This window comes from Homo sapiens, chromosome 14 (genome assembly GCF_000001405.40).
Source record: "Homo sapiens chromosome 14, GRCh38.p14 Primary Assembly".
NCBI lineage: Eukaryota > Metazoa > Chordata > Mammalia > Primates > Hominidae > Homo > Homo sapiens.
This window is the reverse complement of record NC_000014.9, coordinates 52,281,368-52,296,484: the sequence shown is the minus strand read 5'-3', so window position 1 is coordinate 52,296,484 and position 15,117 is coordinate 52,281,368. Positions and strand designations below refer to the sequence as shown.

At 41.1% G+C, this 15,117-nt stretch overlaps 1 pseudogene; it reads right to left on the bottom strand.

Moving 5' to 3' along the window:
* Window positions 7,051–9,717, bottom strand: LOC100131689 (pumilio domain-containing protein KIAA0020-like; annotated as a pseudogene).

Here is a 15,117-nt window from a genome sequence, read left to right as displayed (position 1 = left end):
TTGAAATTTTGGTATGTGCCAGGCATAGGCTGCCTACGCCACCAACTCTCCCCAAACCTTGGGTACTGAGTCTCTAGTGAGTATCCCTGATGGGTAACACTTCATTCGTATTGTTACCTTGTTGCTGGAGAAGGAAGCACATCTGTGTGCCTCTGATGGGAGAAGCCTCTAGGAAGTCTGCATCTGGCTTCCTCCTGACTTCATTCCATGTGATTCTTCCCTTTGTTTTTTTGCTTTGTATCCTTTCCGTGTAATCAACCATAGCCATGAGTGCAACTGTGTGCTGAGTCCTGCGAGTCCGTCTAGAGAAGCCTCGAAACCAGGGGTGGTCTTGGGACCCTTGACGCAATTTGTAATGCTTATCTGTTCTGTGTGGTATTTTTGGTCAAGTCTAGGTATCAATATTGATGGAGCTGCTCTGGGTGACCAGATGGCAAAAGGTTGGACCCCTCCCGATGTGATGCTCTGCCATCTCCTCTCATGTGCCCTACTCTTGCGAGGCTCTGGGAAGCTGACTTTGAAAATTACTTGTCCCAGCCGGGCACAGTGGTTCATGCCTGTAATCCCAGCACTTTGGGAGCGCTAGGCTGGTGGACTGCTTGAGCCCAGGAGTATGAGACCAGCCTGGGCAACATAGTGAAACCTTGTCTTTATAAGAAATATAAAAAATTAGCTGGGCATGGTGGCATGTGCCTGTAGTCCCAGCTACTCAGGAGACTGAGGTAGGAGGATCGTGTGAGGCCAGAAGTTTGAGGCTGTAGTGAGCTATGATCATGCCACTGCACTCCAGCCTGGGTGACAGAGAGAGACCCTGTTTCCAAAGAAGCAAACAAAAACAAGAACAAGAAAAGTATTTATTGCTATGATTTACCTCTAAATTATAGGATTGACTATATCTTGTACAGTTTTATGTGAACTGATCGATCTTGTTTCAACTTTTTACTAAATAATTTTAGTCATTTCATTTAAGAGATTCCCTGCCCATTTCCATAATTATTGACAGTCTGCAAACTTAAAGGAATTATATTTTTGGTAACGTAGTCAGTAAACTATTCAGACTAATCCACCAGTTGAAAACAACTGAAAAATGCTGCAAAAATTGGAAAAGTCTGAAAAGCATGAGAAAGGTGATAAGATAGGATTTACCATGATAACATCTAAATGGCAGCGAGAATCTAGAGGGAAAAGCAGGATGCAGAAGTTGCAGCTGGGTGGTGGTTCATGCCTGTAATCCCAGCACTTTGGGAGGCTGAGGCAGGCAGATCACTTGGGATCAGGAGTTCGATACCAGCCTGGGCAACATGGTGAAACCCCATATCTACAAAAAATTAACTGGGTGTGGTGGCACGCGCCTGTAGTCCTAGCTACTCAGGAGGCTGAGGTAGGAGGATAGCTTGAGCCCAGGAGGCGGAGGTCACAGTAGGCCAAGATCCTGCCACCGCATTCCAGCTTGGCAGACAGAGCCAGACCCTGTCTCAGAACACAGAAGTTGCTTTTGCCTCTGAGGACATATGCCAATGAAGGAAAGGTGGATTTTATTGTTTTTATTCTTTCAGGGTCTGCAAGTTCAGAAATTGAAGTTTATGTTCTGGCAAAGGTGGGGAGTCTAATAGGAAACCTTCCTCTATAAGGTTAGGACCCAAAAGGACTGCTTCCTTAGGTCAGGAATTATCTAGAAGTAAACCTAAACCCACTTTTACGCTCTAACCCTCCAACACTCCCCCAGGAGATCTTAAGGGAAAAAAAAATTCTTTTGTGTTGAACACTGCAGAGGAAGGAAAGTAAAGAAAAACCTGATCTCTGCGAAGTGACAAGCACGTGCTGGCAGTCTCTGTGAGTTTGTAACTCCAAATCACCTTACCTGGATGGTCCAAAAAACCCTGTGCCCCGAACTGGTTTAAAGAAGTCCTGGACTGACCCTAGGGGCCTGGAGAGTGCACATCCCCTCTGGAGGAAGGCACCATCATTTTAGGCATCAGAGAATCTCCAGAATACATGTTCTCATAATACCCAAGCTCACCAGAAGATAAGGTAACATCAGTCAGAATCAGCAGGAATAGACCTACAGTGACTTCAGGTATCCTTCATTATCTACATTTTCATTTTGAACTCCAGGAACCAAATAGATTTGGATGCATTAGGATTTCCACACTAGGCAAAATTTTGCCATGTAGTGTCACAAAGTCAAGAACCTAATAGATTCAGATAATGAAACTCTTGAAATTCAATAAGCAAAAGACAGATAACTGAATAGAAAAGTGGAGAAAAGACCTGGACAGATCCTTCACAGACAGGGATATGCAAAGGACAATAAACATAGGAAAAGGTGTGGATCAGGGATATGCACATTAAAGCCACAATGTGATACCACTCGATACCCCCAGAACGGCTAAACCGAACTAGAAAGACAATAGGAAGTATTGATGAGCATGTGGATCAACTCGGCCTTTATACATTGCTGTGGAAGTATGAACTGACACAATCCACTTTGGAAGACCCCTTGGCAGTATTTACTAAGGGCAAAACTTATGACCTAGCAATTACATTCAGTTATATCCTTAATAGAAATGCATATGTATGTTCCCAAAAGATGTGTGAAAGGATGCTTATTACTTTTTTTTTTTTTCTTTGAGACAGAGTTTCGCTCTTGTTGCCCAGGCTGGAGTTCAGTAGCGTGATCTTAGCTCACTGCAACCTCCGCTTCCCGAGTTCAAGCGATTCTCTTGCCTCAGCCTCCTGAGTAGCTGGGATTACAGGTGCCTGCCACCACACCTGGCTAACTTTATTTTTTTGTATTTTTAGTAGAGACGGGTTTTCACCATGTTGGCCAGGCTGTTCTCAAACTCCTGACCTCAGGTGATCCACCCACCTTGGCCTCCCAAAATGCTGGGATTACAGGCATGGGCCAGTGCGCCCGGCTGCTTATTACTATTTGTAATAGGTTCAATTAGAAATAACTCAAATGTCCATCTGCAATAGATAGATTAATATATTGTGGTAAATTCATACGGTGGAATTCGTACAGTAGAACACTACAGCAAAGAGAATAAACAAAATATAACTCTGAACAACACGGACGGATTTCACAAGCATACTGCTGAGTGAAAGAAAACAAGTACATACTGATTCCATTTATATAAAGTTCAAAAGTGGACAAAATTCATGTATTAGAACTCAAGGTGGTTTCCTCTTGTGGGTGAAGTCAGTAGCTAAAAAAGGGATTTTGGAGGGGTTTGGGATTCTGTGTTTTTTGTTTTTTTTTTTTTTAATCTGGATATTAGTAACTTAGGTGTATTGCTTTGTGAAAATTCATTTCACTGTCTACTTATAATTCGTATATTTCTCTGTATGCATGTTATACTTCAGTAAAATTTTGAAACTTTTATAAAGAGACATTGAAAAGGACATAAATAAATTGAAAAGTATACAAAATTAATCAATAGATTCAGTGCAATTCCAGTGAAAATCCCAGCAGGTTTTGGTGGAACTAAAGCACTAAGATTAAAAGGGCCCCCTTCAAAGAGAGCTAGGTGGAAGCATTAATGTACCTAAGACAACAGGCCAATGGAATAGAAACAAACATACAAATATGGAAACTTCATATGTGACAGATATGATATTTAAGATCAATGGGGAAAAGATAAACTTTTTGATAAATGATACTTGGACAAGTGGTTATTTATATGGTGAAAGTACAAAACTGGATATTTATATCACACCATACACCAAATAAATCATAGGTGGGTTCAAATTCAAGAGTGAAAGGCAAAACTATAAAGCTTTTATAAAGTAGTATAGAAAAATATTTCATGATTTTAGGTTTAGAAAACATTTCTCAAATAAAACATGAAAAGCTTAGCCATAAAAGAAAAGTTTAAGAAATTAGATTCTAATAAAATAAAAATTTCTATTAATTAAAAGTCATCAAAAAGAGAGTGAAAAGACAGATTAAAGAATGGGAAAAGATTTTTCCAACACATAAAACTGACAAAGTAACAGTAGTTAGGACATCTATAAATCAATATGAAAAACAAACATTATATTTTTTAAAAAGGCAAAAGACTTGAACAGAAGCTTTATAAACTAGAATTTCCAAACAGCCAATAAATGTATGAGAAGGTGTGCAATATCATCATTATTAATATGAAAAATACATTAAAACCTCAATGAAATACCATTACAAACTTACCAAAATGGCTAAAACTAAAAATCTAACAATACAAGTGTTAGCAAAGATGTAGAGCAATGAAAACAATGCTGGTGTTAGTGTAAATTGGAAAACAATTTTTATGATATAATAAAAGGTGCACATATCCTATAACCCTGCAATCCCACTCCTAGATGTATGCCTTAGAGATACTCGTACACATGTCCAACACAAGACATAATAAGAACAGTTAAAACAGCATTGTTTATTTTTCTTTTCTTTTTTTGCCCCTTGAATCATAAAACAGCATTATTTCTAGTAGGCAAATCTAGAAATACCCCAAATGTCCATTGACAGCATGCGATATATTCATACCATGGAATACTATTTGGCCATGAAAATATAGGAACTCAGCTACACGTACAAAAAGTATGAATCTCACAAACATACTATATGGTGAATATCATCCAGATCTCCTTTTCCAAGCCATTGCCCCCAGCCCCTGTGGGTTATGGTTTCTAATGGCTCAGAGCTGGCCCCTTTTCTGGAAAATTGCCCTTGGCTCAAAGGGTACCACCGGGAACACGTGGGCCAAAAACTTAGTAACAGGCTTTCACAAGTGTCTTGGTGGGACCAACAGTGTGGTGCTATTCAAGCTCCAGAGCCCCCCCTTGAGATCAGGCAGAGCTGAGACCTCATCCTTGCCTTGATTCCGTCCCTGCCCTGTCCTGCTGCTTTCACCGCTTTTCTCCCGAAAGCAGGAGCTCCACAGGTCACATGCACCTGACTCTTTGTCCTAGACTGCATGTGAGGAATCCAAGCTAAGACACATTACTAAGCTTGAGAAAAAGACACTGAATACATATATTATGATGCACACATGGGGTAAGATAAAGAAAAGCAAAAGCATGATTTCTTAAAAGTCGGAACAGGGTTTATCTCGGTGAGGGGGAGGGACTGTGATCAGGGAAGGCACACAGGAGGCTTCTGGTACTGGCAGTATTCCGTTTCTTGACCTGCACAATGTCTACATGGATATTTACTTTATAATTACTATTTAACTGCATATGCATGTTGTACACACAATTTAGTATGTATAATGCATACAAAAAGAAGAAAAATTTCCATGTAATCAGAGAGACTTTTTGGTTTTAACTTAAATAAAAATGTATTTCCTAATCGAAGAAAATAAACTGTTAATTTCTGCTTTCTTATATTTATTGAGATTTTTCTTGTAGCCTAGTATATAATCAGAGCTTATAAATATTTCTTGTATCATATTTGTCAACAAAATATGCTATGGATTCATATATAATGGGATGCCCATTAATTTAATTATAATTCAATGAATTATATTAGTTATCTATGACTGCTGAAAAAAATCACCCCAAAATGTAGCAGCATGAAACAACATTTTCTCACCTCACGATTTCTGTGGGTGAGGAATCTGGGTGCAGCTTAGCTGGGTCCCCTAGCTCAGGTCTCTCATAAGGCTGCAGTCAAGACATTGGCTGGGGTAGCAGTCGGCTCAAAGCTGTACTTGGAAGGAAGGATCCACTTCCAAGAACATTCATGTGGTTGTTGGAGGATTTGGTTCCTCCTGGGTTGTGGGACTAAGAGCTTCTATTCCTTGCTGGCTGTTGGCCAGTGGCCTCCCTCCATTTTCTGCCATATGAGCCTCTCCACAATACAGCTCACAGCACAGCAGCTGGTTTCCATCGGAGCGAGCAAGCAACCAAGGCTTATTTGGAAAGGTGTAACTTTCCAGATGTTTTTCTGCTGTATTCCACACCTTAGAAGCAAGTCTGTAGGTCCAGATCATGCTTGCAGGGAAAGAATTACCCAAGGGCATGAATACCTGGAGACCTGAAGACCGGGATCATTGGTAGCTCTTTTAGAAGCTGCCTACTACAGTGATACAACTCACTATCTGGCTTCTCTTTTTTTTTTTTTTTTTTTTTTTTTTTTTTTTTTTTGAGACGGAGTCTCGCTCTGTCGCCCAGGCTGGAGTGCAGTGGCGGGATCTCGGCTCACTGCAAGCTCCGCCTCCCGGGTTCACGCCATTCTCCTGCCTCAGCCTCCCAAGTAGCTGGGACTACAGGCGCCCGCCACTACGCCCGGCTAATTTTTTGTATTTTTAGTAGAGACGGGGTTTCACCGTTTTAGCCGGGATGGTCTCGATCTCCTGACCTCGTGATCCGCCCGCCTCGGCCTCCCAAAGTGCTGGGATTACAGGCGTGAGCCACCGCGCCCGGCCCTATCTGGCTTCTCTTGTGTTGTTTTGGAGAATCGTTCATCTTTATCAAAGAAATAGAATCCTGATGGTACTCATCCTGAATGGCAGTATACAGAGTCTTGCATGCATAAAGCAGCGTGATCACAAATCTACATTTAACAGTCAGAGATTCTGTCCTTATGATTTCCAGCCTGGGGCTTGGGTTTGAAACACTGTTCATTTTCTCTGCCCACAGTACCGTTTTACATATGGCAGGTATCTTCCACTCAAGCCTCTTGTTGAACCTGTTTGAGCTGCTTTGAAGGATCATTCCTTGTCTTTCTTGAGTTGCCTTTAGCATCACCAAAGAATTGTAGGTCTGTATCACAGCCTATGCTGAAACACAGTCCAGCATAAACATATTCTGCTTATTTTATAAAAATCCGTCTGAGTTTTGCGTGATATAGAAACAAAAATATGAATATATTTAAACCAATGTCTTTTTGTCTATTTGATCTACCTTGATTGATGGTAGGGCATGAAAATCATCCACGACAATAGTGACATTTTGATTTCTCATGTTTCTAATGCTTTTTCTTTTGTACTTTCATTGCCATGTTATTTGGTCAAAGTAACTCCATGCTGTAAATTCACTATTGATTGTATCTTATAGCCATATATTGACTTTCATTTTAAAAACAATTTCATAAATAGATTCTTATACAAAGAAGAAACATATATACAGAGCACCCAAATTACCAGTAAGGTGGACCCTAGCCCTTCTTTTCTGCATTGGGAAACAGAATGGGGAACAGGAAAAATGATTCCATCTTGCTCTTAACTCTTTCCACCCATGAGCCCAATTTTTCAAGTAGAGTTTCTATTCCTTTGACGGTGCCTTTGTTTTTTTCCCAATGTAGCAATCAAGCTTTTCAGTCCATCTTTGAGTTTGTTTGCAACTTCTTGATCACAACCTGGAGGAGGCTAGAAAGAATAATGGCACCTCGATTTACACTAGCCCAGGACTTCAGGTTCCTCATACCAACATGCTGTACAAATGATTTTGCAAAACAACCTTCTCTCCCATTTTATTTCATCTTTTTATCTTGCTCTATTAACCACTTCAGAACTAGATGTCCTGGAGGATGTTCTGCAATGTGAAGCTCTCGGTCCTTGCCACTAGGTTGCAGTTCCACTGCTGCCAAGCTGGCAATGGCATTCATGGCGGGCTGAACATCTCCAGTGGCAGATCCCAGAATGTCAGATACCAACACACGCGGACTTATCTAGCACCACCTCTTGGGCATGTCCTTGCAGGAAGCTTAACAAAGCTAGAGAAATGGATTCTAGGAGCTCATATCTGCAGATTTCTGTACCTTTATTACTGTGTGCATTTCCATCTCCTTTTTGCAGAACTTCAATGATTTCTCATAGTAGATATACAGGATCTCTGGGGCTTAGTGAATACAACAGGACCTTCCTTTCATGTTTGTCATTTCCTGTGCTAGGCAATGAACTGATAATTCCTGATATGATTATTACCTGCTTCACAAGCTTAGTATCATCAATACAATCAAATGCTGCCAGGAAAGCCAAATGAGAGTATTGGCCATCAGTCACTTTTTCAACCTAAGTCTTCATTATTTTCACAGTCACTTTCCTGTCCTTGGGCATGCCATGCCACAGGCCCATGGCCAGCCATGCCCTCGTGTGTGTGTGTGCCAGGTATACCACTGCTTTGTGGATGACTTCAATCATTTCTGATCTGAGTTTGGGGGGTGCATAGGTGAAAAAAAAAGAAAAAAAAAGTCCAAGAATATGCACCAATGAATGCTTAATCACAGCTTCCTTTTGGGCCACTGGAGTTAGAATCTGTTTCATTTCATCCATAATAAGCTCTTAATTTTTCTGGCTGTACCCCTAATACTTTGTCTGGAGTTGGTGATCGACTGACTTGTAAAGGTGAAATGTGTTCCCATAGAACTCTTTCGTCAGCATGTTCCTCTGCTCCAAAGTGGCTTTGTCATTATATGTGTCCTACATGATGGCTGATGTTTCTGCCTGCCACAGCATCTTCCTCACGGGGCCTTTTAAACTTCTCATTATCTCTGCAATCTGTGGTTGACTTCCATACATGCGACATTTCTTTTTTTTTTTTTTTTTTTGGCTTAACATTTTATTCATTCAGCAAATGAATATATTTAGAAACAAACATTTATTGAATAAATGAGTTATATTTTCATGTTGCCTCATAACCTTTACATCTATCATCTTTAACAGCTGCATAATGCTTCATTAAGAGGATGACATAATTTACTCAAGCAAGTGCCTTCTCAGTTTAGTAGTAGTAGTTAAAAGCTCAGGCATGAAGCCACAACTGAATTCAGATCCCAACTATGTAACTTACCAGCTACGTGAGCTTGTGCAAGATACTTTCCTTTTTTTTTTTTTTTTATTATACTTTAAGTTCTAGGGTACATGTTCACAACGTGAGACATTTCTTTAAAATATTTCTGGAGTATTTGGCTTTACTTAATTCAACCAAATTATCTCCCAATTCTTCAAAAGCCTGTTTTGACTGTTCTTCATTACCACACTGAATGTAACACTGGATCACATGAGTTGAATCATTTGCAAATGCAATTGTTTGTTTGTTTGAGACAGAGTCTTGCTCTGTCCCCTAGGCTGGAATGCAGTGGCACCATCTCAGCTCACTGCAACCTCTGCCTCCCAGGCTCAAGGAGTCTCATGCCTCAGCCTCCTGAGTAGCTGGGATTACAGGAATGTGCCAACATGTCCAGCTAATAAATGCAATAGTTTTAATTTTCCCTTGAATCAACTTCTGCAAGTCATTCATTAACTTTACTCTTTTTTCTTTGTCAGTCTTTTCTTCTTAAAGTCTTCCAAATCTGCTTTGCCCACACAACAGTGTCATAGTTACTTTTATCACTGAGTTGCCTGCTTTGCTTCAGTTCTTTCTTTTTCTTTTTGAAGTCATCCCATTTGGGTTTCTTGGCTGCTGATTCACCACTTTTGCCATCTGGCTGGAGTTTCCTCTTCTTGTTGAATTTATTTGCTGGCTGGAATTTGTTCCTTGGTGCTTTGTCCCATTGTTGCTTATTCTTCAACTGCTTCGCACCCTTTCCCCTGGTTTTGTGACACTTTTCTCAAAGTTCTTAGATGTGGCTTTAGATTCACCTTCCTTAGCAACTTTTCTTGGAAATGTCTTTGAAGAACCAGAATCACCGTGTTTATGAAATCAGTTTTATTTTTTTGTGATGCCTTTGTACTCTTTCCTGTGAATTGTTGTTTCCCCTTTGACTTCCACCATAGCAACTTGCACACATGGGGCCGACCACATATTGACTTTTTAACCATAAAACTTACTGCCTTAAGTTCTGCTTAGCCTAATATTACTTTATGTTCACATTTGAAGTATAAATCTTTGTTCCATTTTTATCTTTAGCTCTTTTAGCAGGGGGCTGTCATTTTTCTTTTGGATGTGCCAATTGTCAATCAAGGAAAATGACCAGGGCAAGTCCCATTCATTTTTGGAGGTTTATTTGCCAGAGTTAAGGACACACAACCGGGAAACAGGTCTATGCCTTTCTCTGAAGATGATTTTGAGGGCTTCAATATTTAAAGAGGAAAGGGCAGGATATTGAGAAATACCCAATGTTCATGTGAGAGGGGTAGGAGAAAATAGCCATTCCTGCCTTGGTCTGGCTCAGTGAATCTGCATTTTTACATAAGATTAATGTAGACAATAGGGCAGAGGAAACAATGTGTGCAGAGGGATGACTTTGAGTTCTGTCCTATGTTCCCCGCAGCTGTGAAGAAAAGCTATCAATTCACATTTGCATGATGCACTTTAACAGAAATGCTTTAGGGTGAAGATCTTGGGGACCACAAGGAATTTCCTTGTGAGGGAGGTATGTAGCTTTTCATCTTGTAGCCATCTTATTTAGGAACCAAAATGAGAGGCAGGCTTGCATAACCCAGTTCCCAGCTTGACTTTTCCTTTTGGCTTAGTGAGTTTGGGGTCCCAAGATTTATTTTCACATTTCCCCCATTTTTTCTTTAAAATCATTTGGAGAAAGCATTTTAGAAGGAAAATGTGTCTCTGGTCTCAGCTTGCTTTTTTCTTTTTCTTTTTTTTTTTGAGCTGGTCCTTCATTGCTAGGATGGTTTATTCCCAGAAATTCAGGTCCCACCTTGCTAGGAAGGCTCATTCTTAGCAGGTCGTGCCCCATGAAGATTAAAATAGGGGGAGGAAAGAAGGTAAGAGGAAATTAAAAATATAGGGATCTAGACCAGATATACAGCAAAAGGGAAAGCAAACCTGGAAGCTGGGTCAGGCTATGCTACTGCCTCCTCAATTAGAGCAACTCTTTGGGCAATCATTATTCTAGCCCTTTCAGTTGATGACTAATCTGGACATACCATAATAACATTGTAAGCAAAAACAGGACATGACACAAATTATTATTATTATTATTATTGGAAGCAATAGCTTCTGCCACCAATTTCTCCAGGTCACAATACAATTTCTCCAGGTATCCACCCCATATCTCTTGTAGTGTTTGGCCATTGGTCCTTGGGGTCGTTTCTTCGTTCCAAGCATAAAGGAGCATTTTGGCTGAGTTGGCCAAATGAAGGGATGAACCAGATAAACCCATTCCAAATTTGCATTATCCCATTTTGAAAATGGGCTGTTGTTTGGGGCATGGTTGCCACCTTCTCTTTTAGTTGGGGGAATGCTAAAGTGAGAGCTGGTGAGCTGGTCCTTTCCCTTGAAAATCTTTTCCCATGTCCTTGCTCTTGAGTGTTTTTAATGGGGAAATTATATATATTTAGTCTTTTGTTATGCCAGCACTAAGGATACGAAACCATTTCTGTGATGTAATAAATTTTGGTATTCTAGCTAGTCTTGACCTTGTAAGGGAAATACCCACCATGGCAGGCTGGAGCCACTGGAAAGAGGCATGAGTCTGCATATCACACAGGCATCCTTTTATAATCTGTCTGCATAATCCTGAGCCCATTGTAGAAACAGGTTTGTCTTATGGGCAACAATGGGTGACAGTGGCAAGAGGTTTTAGAGACATAGGGTAAATAGGAGCAAGGTTGTGAAATTCATTTTAACTACTAAAAGGACATTAAATCAGACAAGGCAAATGCCCTGTTCTGCACAAGATAGCAGTTGCCAGTATCTCTAGGACAATAATTGTAATAGCTATCATACAATACACATAGGTGTTCTTTTGTATACAGGCCTGGTCCTGTGTCTTGGGTTTCATAGGTGTTCTTTTGTATACAGGCCTGGTCCTGTGTCTTAGGTTTAAGCAGTCCACAACAGCTATGGTCTGCTCCTAGTCCTGGATTGAAGTTCAATGTTAATGAGCTGCAGGTGAAGATCCTTGGTAGGAGTTACAGCCTACTCAGGAGGTTGTGCCTTTTTAAGATGAGAGGTGTAAATCCATGAGTTTATACTGTCTAGTTTTTGCAGCACATGGATTTGTTAATAGTATTTGGTATGGCTCCTTCCATTGGGGTTGAAGGGAGTCCTTTATTAAATGTCTTTTCCAATAGACAAAGTCTTCAGGCTGCAGATCATAACCAGGAACCTTGTCTTCAGGGAGTGGACTATGAAAGGAATTCTTTACCAAATCTTGGCTTTTGTAAAGATGACAAATGAGTCCCTTATAATACTGCAATATATCTCTCTTGAGAAAAGTTGGGTTGGTTATTTTGGTTCCCATACACATGGGCCTTCCTGTTATAATTTCATAAGGGGATAGTTGATGTTTCCCAAGGTGGACCAGAGGGTAAGAAGCACCAGGGGAGTGCTTTAGGCCAACAGAGGTGAAGTCCATTTATGAACTTAGCCAATTGTGTTTTAATTATTCCATTGGTCCTTTCCGCCAGCTCTGAGGACTGGGGATGGTAGGCACAATGGAAATGTTGAAATATGGGCCAAATTTCACAAATATTTTGAATAACTTGACCAGGAAAATGAGTTCTTCTATCACGTAAAGTTCACAGTGGACTCCCCACAGTGGAATAATTTTTTCTAATAAAGTTTTCCAACTGCCATCGCTGTTGCTTGCCTGCAGGGAAAAGCTTCAACCCAATGGGAAAACATGCAGACCATTACTAAGACATGTAACCTTGAGAGGATGGCGGCTGGATAAAATCAAGCTGCCATACCTCAAAAGGTCCAGCTGGAAGGGGAAAATGACCCTGGGCCTCATGGAGGAGCTTCCGTGGATTATCCTTAGGACAAATAGCACACTGGGAATAAACCTTTTGTGCCACTGTGGAGGATCGTTTCCAGTAACATTGTTTACACTAGGATATACTTTTATCTGGATTCCATCGTGTCAGATTATTAACACATTCCTTAAGGGGCACCTGACATCCCATTGGAATAATGGTTTATTATTAAGTCCATACAATATTTTAGTTTCAGGAGACAGGTATTCCCCTGTCTGTTTCCAAGTGGATTTCTCTTTTGTTGGGGCTATACTCTAGGTTTCCTTCAACATGTTTTTAAGTGTTTCAGGCTTTATGATCATTTTTTTGGATTGGGTCTGGTGGCTTGAATGCTGCTTTTTCAGCTGTAGCAATAGCAAATTTGTTATCTCCACTTTTAGTGGTGTCCAATGTAGAGTGACCTGGGATTTTTACAACTGTCAAAAGTTTTGGTTGAGAATAGTTTCTAACAGCTCTGAGAGTTGGTTGTCCATTTTTTATGGGTTGCCCTGAGGAGGTTAAATATCCTCTCTCCTTTCACATTCCGAAGTCCTGAGCAACTCCAAATGCTTAGCAGGTGTCAGGGTATGTTTGCAGCCTTGTCTTTTGCTAATCGACAAGCTTGAGTCAGGGCAATCAATTTGGCCCCTTCAGCTGATTTGGCTTGAGGAAGAGGACCAGCTTCAACTACCTCTAGTAAAGAGACCACAGCATATCCTGCTCTAAAATTTCCATCCCCATCCTCTTAAATAAGACCCATCTGTATACCATTCTATCTCAGCATTATCCAGTGGCATCTCTTGTAAGTCTGTCCCAGAAGTGAGAAGTTGGTCAGTCATCAGAACATAGTCATGAGGGGTTTCGTCAGAAGGACCAGGCGAGAGAGTGTAAGTTAATTATTTGGAGCATATTATCTCAGTCAAAATGTATAAAATAATCTAAAATTGATTCATTTCGGTTCTGGTGGCATTGCTGGATTTTATCCCAATCCACAACCCTTTGGAATATTGAAGAAATGGTATTTAACAGAGCAGTTGCTCATTCCCACACATCTTTGTGTCTGTGTTCTCGACTTCTGGGGGCTGGTTATTGTAGCTCTATTGGGCCTTCAAGGGTTAAGTCTGCTACAGGGTCTGACCACTGTACTTTGTCCAGCTATTCCTTAGCTTTAGCTTCCGAGACCAACATGTGTGCCAGCTGTTAGAGGTCTGAATGGCCTGGGTCATAGGTTCTGATAATGAATTCAAATTCTTGGGCAAACTCAATTGGATCTTATGGGGGCCCAGAAATTCTTTATGCCCTGCAACTCAGCCTTTGACCAGCGTTGGTAGACAATCACCGGGGTTCCCCTATGTGTTACCGGTTGTTCCCAAAACAGGGTGATCATGAGAGATGGCCCTGCAGGGTCCCCCTTTTCCACATCTTCCAGATGAGAGGCTGCCACTGGCACTGTCAGGGAATTGTCAGGAGGTAGGGTCTTGGAAGTTAGACTCCCTACTGCCTTCTGTTGAGTGAGTGGTGTACAAGGAGAGGAAGATGTTAAATTAGAACATGCAGGAGAAGGAGGGAACAGATCTGGTCCGGGAAGTTCAGAGAGGTCAGGGGTAAAGTGGGGGTGTAAGTGGAGGTGGGGAGGTGCCACAGGGAAGTAAGGGATTCTGGGGATTTCTTTAAGAGAGATAGAACTTTAGAGAGTCCTTGGTTAGCATTTCTAAGTTGTTTGTTGGCTTATTGTAAGGACATGAGGTGATCTTCCCCCCATTTGCTACTCTCTAGGTACCATTGAAAGTAGCTCTCCCATTCTGGTTGTTTAGTTTTGTGCCTGCGTTTTGCATCCTAGTTCACAGGTACACTAATTTGGGCATCTCAGAAGATCCCCATCTAGGCCTCTGTAGGTTAGAATCTGCCTTGATTATAGTGGTCCACTTGATTAAATATTTGCATGACAATTCACCATAAGTGTTTTTGCATATACCTGGCCAGAGTTTCTAAGGGTGGAACTTTGTGTTCCACAGCTGTGGGGGTTTCAGCCAACTTAAAGGGCTCCTTCCACATAATTTAGAGTTTTCCTTCAGATTTGACCAAGTCGGAGGGTTTGTTGGATCCAAAGTGTGCTGCTTGGGGACCTAGCTTTTCAGGGCCGTTACTCGCTGAACTGGTATCGTGGCTACCTGGCACAGTGTGTCAGGGGCTCAAGGCATGGGAGATCAGCTCCTTATTTGCACCTGCTAGCTGAGATTACACCCTAAGTACGTTCTTCTGAGGGGAAATCCTACTCAGAGCCGTTGCACATCTTAGGGAGTGTTTCTTCCAGACACCCTCATGTAATTCTCAGTTGCCTAAGAAAGGCTGAGAAGGGCGAGCTCTTATTTCTTTGGAGAGGAAAATTCCATACTATAAGCTAGAGGGTTTAGAGTTGGCCAAATCCAATAAGAGAAGGACTGAAGCATACAAAAAAACACCTAACAAGACAGAAACAAGTAAATAAGACATCTAAGCA